The 7,842-nt window shown below is 41.4% G+C and overlaps 1 annotated feature.

The window, feature by feature from the left end:
- Positions 3,812 to 5,011: an enhancer, noted in NCBI's record as "P300/CBP strongly-dependent group 1 enhancer chr4:12432477-12433676 (GRCh37/hg19 assembly coordinates)". NCBI's record gives its function as "activates an origin of replication core promoter dependent on BRD2, BRD4, P300/CBP, MED14 and CDK7 cofactors, with strong dependence on P300/CBP, by STARR-seq in HCT116 cells {active_cell/tissue: HCT116}" and the evidence as "EXISTENCE:reporter gene assay evidence [ECO:0000049][PMID:35650434]".

The following is a 7,842-nucleotide window of genomic DNA, read 5'->3' on the forward strand; positions in this document are numbered from 1 at the left end:
TAACCTGTATAGCTTTGTACTGATTTAGTTGACAGTTTGTGTGTGGTGGGGGAGGGCTCTCCCTCTAGTAAAACGCATGTATAGTTTTAGGAAATTACAAAAACTGGTTGGGCCAGTCCATCCTTGCTCTTTGGTGGTCCACAGAACATTGGACCAACTACGGTATAAAAGCTCTGCATCGGGGGGCAAGACTTCTGGTTGACACTGGGTCTTTGTTGAAATCTCCCCAGATTAAATGGTCCGAATTCACTAATGCCCAGTCTGAGGGGAGTCAAGAGGGACAGAGGTGCTTTTCTGAGGTAGAGAGCTGTCTTTGACTTGGCAAGTCCCCACAGGGTATAACAAGGCAAGCATCAAATGCAATAGTTTGAGGCAAAATTGACTTAGTTATGTTAATAACTAGATGGTCAGCAATAGAGCGAGAAAAGAAGGAAGAGTAATAGAATAGATAAAAGAGAGTTAGGTTTTTCTTAGCTTTAGTTTGGTAGGGTTTTCTCCTGGGACTATGGCCCATGACTTTGGAAGGGTCAGCGCTTTCTTGACTCGAGTGTGATAGTCCATCCCCCTTCCGCTGTATGCATAGCAGTCTCTGTGGTTAGCAACACAAGGCAGGGTCTTCCCAGGCTGGCTCGAGTTTTCCTTCTTTCCACCCTTTGATGAGAATGGGATTCTCAGGCTGGTGCTGGTTTACTGGAAATTCTAGGGGTGGTACCTGTGCTAAAAGACTTTTAGTTTTGAGGGAAAGGAAAGTGGAAGATAAACCAAGTATATAATATCTAAGAAACTGATCTTTCGTTTTTAATGTGGGGACATCAGCAGTGGTCTTTATAGTCCTTGGTGCCTTCTTACTGAGACATTTCCTTTAGCACCTATTTTTATTAGTTTTTAGACCAAAGAAAGCCAAACACCATTTTATATTAGACATTGCTTCCTGGATAATTTTTATACCAGATAAGCTGAATTTTACCTATATGTTAGTATGTTATTAATGTTAAACTTAATTTTAATAAAACCTTGTAGACATATTTATCCAATTGTTAATGTCTGACCATAAGGTAAGATTTTTATAGACTCTTTTTAGCCTTTTATAATTTTTGTTAAAGAACAGGTTAGTGCTTTAAGAAAGATCTGCTGTGCTTTTATTTTAATGTCCAGTTCACAGAAAAACTGGATGATACCCCTTTAACCTTAACCAATATGTTTACACACAGAATTTCCTTTACAATTAACATTTCAAAACTTGCTTAAACCTTTAAAACAAAATATGTTTTAACGTTTTAATGTAGGTGAAAATCCACATTCTTATGACTCCTTATAGTCCTTTTACCAAAGGTATATTTTACTTTGCTTACATGCCTTGCACATAAACTGTTTCTTCAATAGTATTATGTTCAGGAGGCCTAATTACTTTTTTTTTTTTTTTTTTTGAGACAGAGTCTCGCTCTGTCGCCCAGGCTGGAGTGCAGTGGCACAATCTTGGCTCACTGCAAGCTCCGCCTCCCGGGTTCAGGCCATTCTCCTGGCTCAGCCTCCTAAGTAGCTGGGACTACAGGTGTCCGCCACCACGCCCGGCTAATTTTTTATATTTTTAGTAGAGCTAGGATTTCACCGTGTTAGCCAGGATGGTCTCGATCTCCTGACCTCATGATCCGCCCGCCTCAGCCTCCCAAAGTGCTGGGATTACAGGCGTGAGCCACCGCGCCTGGCCATTACTTTTAAATTATACAACATTTCTTGCATAAATTCCCTTTTATAACATTTTTTTTCCACAACTTTCACAGACAATTCTTCAACATGCCTCAACTTTCTGACTTGTTGCAAACATCCCTTTCTTTAAACAATCAATTAATTTATTTTAGGACAAGAATTTACCATATAACATTCCTTTTTACATAAATTCTCCCCACCCCCCCTTTTTTTTTCCTAAAGATGATAACCATTCTTTTCCAAAGTGAACTTCATGTCTGTGGACTAGACTGCCTAAGGCCATATGATTAGAAGTTAGGATAATACACGTTACACTGTTAACTTTTAGCAAACTTTACTCTTGTTGAAAACCTTGTAAATTTGGGATTTCAATTATCCTTTGCCCTGTTAATAAGACCTTGTTTAGTCCAAATTAACTTAGAATTGGTATAGATGGTTCCTTCCTGGTTCTCTAAGTACATTAAGGCTTGGCTGAGTGGAAACAGCTCACATGTTGGAGCAGACCAATTATTAGGCAATTTTCCTAAGTCTGCTTCTACAAGAGTTTCCTTATCACTTACTGAATACCCATTGCGTCTTTTTCCCTCAATCACCAGGGAGGAACCTGTCCTGAAGGGAGTTCCTCCTAGGTCTGGCTGGACCTTTGTATGGTAATTAAGATTTAGATCGCCTGTTAGGAAAGATGCTGGGTTAAGGGAATTTTCAGTGGTTAATGTTAAATCATCTTTTTCTAACAGAATAGCCTCATACTTTAAGGTTCTTGGGTCAGTAAGCTATCTTTTTGCTGGTTTTTTTTTTTTTTTTTTTTTTTTTTTTTTAACATAGGATAGTTCTGACCTGATCAGGTGTGCTCACAATGAGGTTTCCTCTAAAAGTTATTTTTCTACTTTATTCTGTTAGCAAAGCAGTTGCCGCTACAGATTGAATGCATTTGGGCCATCCATGGGTTACTGGGTTAAGGATTTTTGATTAGGAAGGCTACAGTTGCCAGTGGCCTCAGTGCTTTCGGGCTACACCCTTGTTTACACTGACAACAAGGTGGTTTGGGAGTGTTATGGGGTCACAGAGAAGACCTTTAATTATTAATTATAGGTTTTAAATTTACCCTGGCTTTTAAAGGAATAGAAAAAACTCTTTTCTCTTTACTACTTCTATCTCTTTTCTTTCTCTCTCTCTCTGACTTTGTCTCTCTCTCTGACTCCCTCTTTTGTCTTTCTTTCTCTCTCTGCTTCTCTCTTTCTCTCTCTCTCTCTCTTTGACTCCCTGTCTTTCTGTCTCTTTCTCTCTCTCTCTGCTTCTTTCTCTCTCTCTCTCTTTCTCTCTTTGACTCCGTCATTCTGTCTCTTTCTCTCTCTCTTTCTCTCTTTGACTCCCTGTCTTTCTGTCTCTTTCTCTCTCTGCTTCTCTCTTTCTCTCTCTCTCTTTGACTCTCTGTCTTTCTCTCCCAGTTTCTCTTTGCTTTTTGCTGGTCTTTCCCTGCCTCTGCCAGCTGCTTATGCTGCTGTTCTCTCCTCTCCTTCCCCTTCCCGTAGGGGAGGGACTGGCAGGAGTGGAGCTACTCTTTCTTCCCCCGAGAAGAAAGGAGAGAAGAGTTCTGAATATTTTTCTTACTACTGGAGGTTTGTGTGAGGTTCAACCCCCTGAAATTTGCAGAAGTCTCAACCCCTCAAACCAGGGTTGTCTCTCCTTGCCTGCCCCGGAAGACTCAACCCCTCAAACCAGGGATGTCTCTGCTTGCCTGTCCCAGAAGGCTCAACCCCTCAAAACAGGGGGTGTCTTGTTTCGCTGCTCTGGAAGGTTGACCTGTTTCCTCCCTTTCCCCCTCTTAAGGTCCCTTGCACACTTCCCACTCGTGTTGTCATCCCTGGCTGCTCCCCCAAGGGAGAATTAGGCCGCTCTTAGTGTTGGCATGCTGGTATAAATCCCATGGCAGGATCTGCCCTAAGCCATATGAGGTAGCTACAGAACGGCGGAGAGGACCCACTCACTCCATCCAGCAGTAGTACTTGTCACCATCCACATGAACAACACTGCAAGTGGGGTTGTTTGTGATCATTCACGCACACACACATTTAGCCCTCCAGAATTTGACCACCAACGAAGTACTTTACGGGCTCCCGCGGCTTCTCCTTCCTTGGTCTGTGCACAGAGTTGTCGCCACAGTATGTGAGAATCATTCAAGCTAGTTTGCTGGCCAGTTTCTTTCCGTGTTGCTGAGAGCTGGGGTTATTCTTCACATTAGGTGGGTCCTGATTTCTCAGCCCTGAGGCAGCCACAAGTGGGTGGGGCGTGCCTCCTCATGAGAGAGAACTAGAGACCACCCCCAGAGGGGAATGTAATCACGGGCAAGCCCCCCAATTATTACAAATAAAGATTTGGTACCACAAAAGAAACAGCACTCTAATATAAAATTTTCTTTTTAATTCTCAGCAAGGTAATGTACTTCTATAGAAGGGTGCGCCCTTACAGATGGAGCAATGGTGAGTGCACACTTGGACAAGGGAGGGGAAGGGGTTCTTATCCCTGACGCACGTGGCCCCTGCTGCTGTGTTGTTCCCCTATTAGCTAGTGTTAGACTGTACAGGCTAAACTAATTCCAATTGACTAATTTAAAGAGAGTGATGGGGGGTGAGTGGTTTGGCAGGAAAAATGGTTATGGCAGAGCAGGAAATTGGAAGGAGTCAGGGTGGAGAATGAGCACGTAATCGCAATGAGTCAGGGTGGAGAATGAGCAGGTAATCGGAATGAGTCAGGGTGGGGCAGGTAATCGGAATGAGTCAGGGTGGAGCAGGTAATCGAAAAAGGTTGCTTTATGAGGAAGTTAAGTTTAAATGTAGAAGGCAAAGAATTGAACATACTGACATATTGATTCTTTGAAGAGAAATTTAGAACTCATATCTAACATGACTTATATTGATTTTCCAATATTGTTCTCCATTTTTTGTTTGTTGTTGTTCTTCTCCCTCCCTCCTGTAGGATGTGAGACTTCACCACCTGCTAAAATTGAGCTTTCCTGCTAACATAAGACCTACATGTATTAGAATAAACCATCCTGGCCACGAGAGATCAGACAAAATCTGAGAACAGAGACTCATTTACTTCTAAAATGCTTTCTCTGGAAGATTTTAAAAAGAAAAGGGGAGAAATGTGAAAGGAAAATAAATCTCAGGAGCCCAAAATCACTAAAGCAAAGGGAAAAGTCAAGCTGGGTACTGACGTGCATATCTGACTCTCATTCTATTCCTAAATAAGATAGCTATGAAGACAAAAAAAGCTACATACCTCCCCCATAATTTGCCGACAAAGAAATTCCTTGCGGACAACGGAGAAACAAAACTCCAAGTCATCCCTTTGGTTAAGTGAGACACATGCATATCTGATTGCTTTCTTTATCCTATTGTTTCACTAAGCCAGACTAAGGCACAAGTGACTATGCCTATAAACTGTGTATTCAGTGAAAGGCTAATCAGAAACTCAGATGAATGCAACCATTTTTCTCTTATCTACCTATGATCTGGAAGCCCCTTCCCTGCTCCAAGTTGTCTTTCTAAATCAAACCAATGTATGTCTTACATGTGAGGACTAAACTCTGATTTTTTTTTTTTTAATTTTGCCCAAATTCCTGTGTAAGGGGCCTGGGGAGTTATGCCCTACAAATCATAAATTCTCATCAGATAGGTTTTATTTAACCCTATATATCCTGACTCTGGCATAACATTATGAGACAAAGAAGATAAAAATATTTTACCCTAAAACATGTTTCTTTGCCATTTTTTGAAATGGCCCTGCAAAGCTGTTCTTTGTGGGGGAAAATTTGCATCTTTAAAGAATCTTTTTTAAGATAGCTAGACATTTTTCTTCTAGACCCTCCCAATCCTAAAGAGATTAACTAAGGTCTGAATAGGAAACATTTGTCATCTATCATCTCTAAGTGTAAGACTTCAAAAGAACTTTGGTCTCACAATCTTTATCTTAACCTGAACATTCCCTTTCTAACAATCCCAGGTCTTTGGACAAACTCACCCAACTGTCAACCAGAAAATATTTAAATTAACCTATAGCCTGGAACCCCCAGCTTTGAGTTGTTCCGCCTTTCTGGACCAAACTAATGTATTTCTTCAATGTATTAGATTAATATATCATGACTCTCTAAAATGGATAAAACCAAGCTGCACCCTGACCACCATGGGCACATGCTCTCAGGACCTCCTGAGCGCTGTGTCATGGGCCATGGTCATTTATATTTGGCTCAGAATAAATCTCATCAGATATTTTACAGAGTTTGACTCTTTTGATCGAGACAATTATTGATTGACGTATCCTGTCTCCTTGAAATGTAGAAAACCAAGCTATGCCCTGGACACCTTGGGCACATGTCATCAGCATCTCCTGAGGCTGTGTCACACTCACATCCTTAACCTTGGCAAAATAATCTTTCTAAGTTGACTGAGACTTGTCTCAGATATTCTGGGATCACAAAGTCAACCCAACCCACAATTTCACCAAACCACTACTTTCCAAATCAGTCCTCAGAACAAGAGTGTAAGAAGATCTGTAAATTGTTGCTCTAATTAAAATAAAATAATGGAAATTTGTAGGGTATATTTACAGGGGTGCTGGTTACAACAGCTCCTTTTCAGAGTTCATAAGTACTTTTGCATAGTAAAGATCTGAGCAGAAAGGAATGTCACCTGGAACTGCTTACTTCTGTTTAATCCAGTTTAATCTAAGTTTACCCTATGAGTGAGAGCCCTTTTCATAGAATGGTTATGCAGATCTAGACACTCAGTTTCTCTTGTGTTTGTCTCAGAATTGCTGCCTCATCATCTTAGAAATCCATGTGAACTCAGATGAATCCAGAATATGCAAACTTTACAGAACTCACTCTTGGTTGCTGCTGAGCTTGTATCAGCCAGGTTATAACCATATTGACCTTCTTTCTGTTACTGTTTTCTGTTTACAGTTGCACTCATCTTATCCATTTACTTCTCTAAATCTTCTCACATACCAGTTCTCAGCACAGCAAACTCTTTCAACCTCACAGAACTCAACATCCCTTCATTTACTTCCCTGTCTTTGCTCATGCCATTTTCTCTACCCACTTATCTGCTGTCTCACACCCCACGTTGCCTAAAAAAATCCTGTTTGTTATTAGGATTCAGTTTCCAGGATTAACAAAGTTGGGCAACTGGCCTGGTGTGGTGGTTCACATCTGTAATTCCAGCACTTTGGGAGGCTGAGGCAGGTAGATTGTTTGAACCCTGGAGTTTGAAGCCAGCATGGACAACATGGCAAAACCACTTCTCTACAAAAAACACAAAAATTAGCCAGGCGTGTTAGCACTGGCCTGTAATCCTAGCTACTCAGGGAGGTAAACTGGGAGTATCCATTGAGTTTGGGATTCTGAGGCTGCAGTGAAAGCTGCTCTGGAGCTCAGGAGAAATAACTACAAGTTCTGCTGGTGCTACAGATATGTCTGGTAGCTAAAGGTGCTCTACTGGAGCTCCCATAAGCTTCAGGAGGAGAGTCACAACATAGACTCTATTGATATTCATTCGATACTTGAAATATAGCCTGTGTCATGCCAAGAGGCTCTGGTAGAGACTCTGTGCCTGACCATAAGAAATCAAGTGGCTGAGAAAACACAGATGTCTATCATAAGCCTGGTGTTTTCAGGCTGACCAAGTCATAAGTTTGGTTCAGCACTCACCATCCTTAGGTACTGAAAATGGTGTATTTGAAATTGGGACTTAGCTGATGGTCCTGATGCTTATAATACCCACCTGTTTCATGGATGTCTGTCCTTCAACTTATTGTCTTCAACAATATGCAGAGTTCCCTGCAATGGGCTGATAGAAGAAGAAAAACTCAGGCCTGGTTCATTGATTTGACAGAAGCCAAAAATGGATCTCTGCTTCAGCATATCCCTGCCTAGCATACCTCCAAGGACAAAGGTAAGGAGAAATCTTTCCAATGGGAGTGTGTAGGTGGGTGTACAGGTAGAGCATCCAGCTGCTCAGTTTTTAAGGTTGGAGGAGTGGCTTGAAGTAAGAATATATATGGTTTCCTGGTCTGTGGTGAATAGCTTCTCTGGTTGGTCAAGGATCTGGAAGAAGGAAGTTTCGAACATTCATG

Source organism: Homo sapiens, chromosome 4 (genome assembly GCF_000001405.40).
Source record: "Homo sapiens chromosome 4, GRCh38.p14 Primary Assembly".
In the NCBI taxonomy this organism is placed as follows: Eukaryota; Metazoa; Chordata; class Mammalia; order Primates; family Hominidae; genus Homo; species Homo sapiens.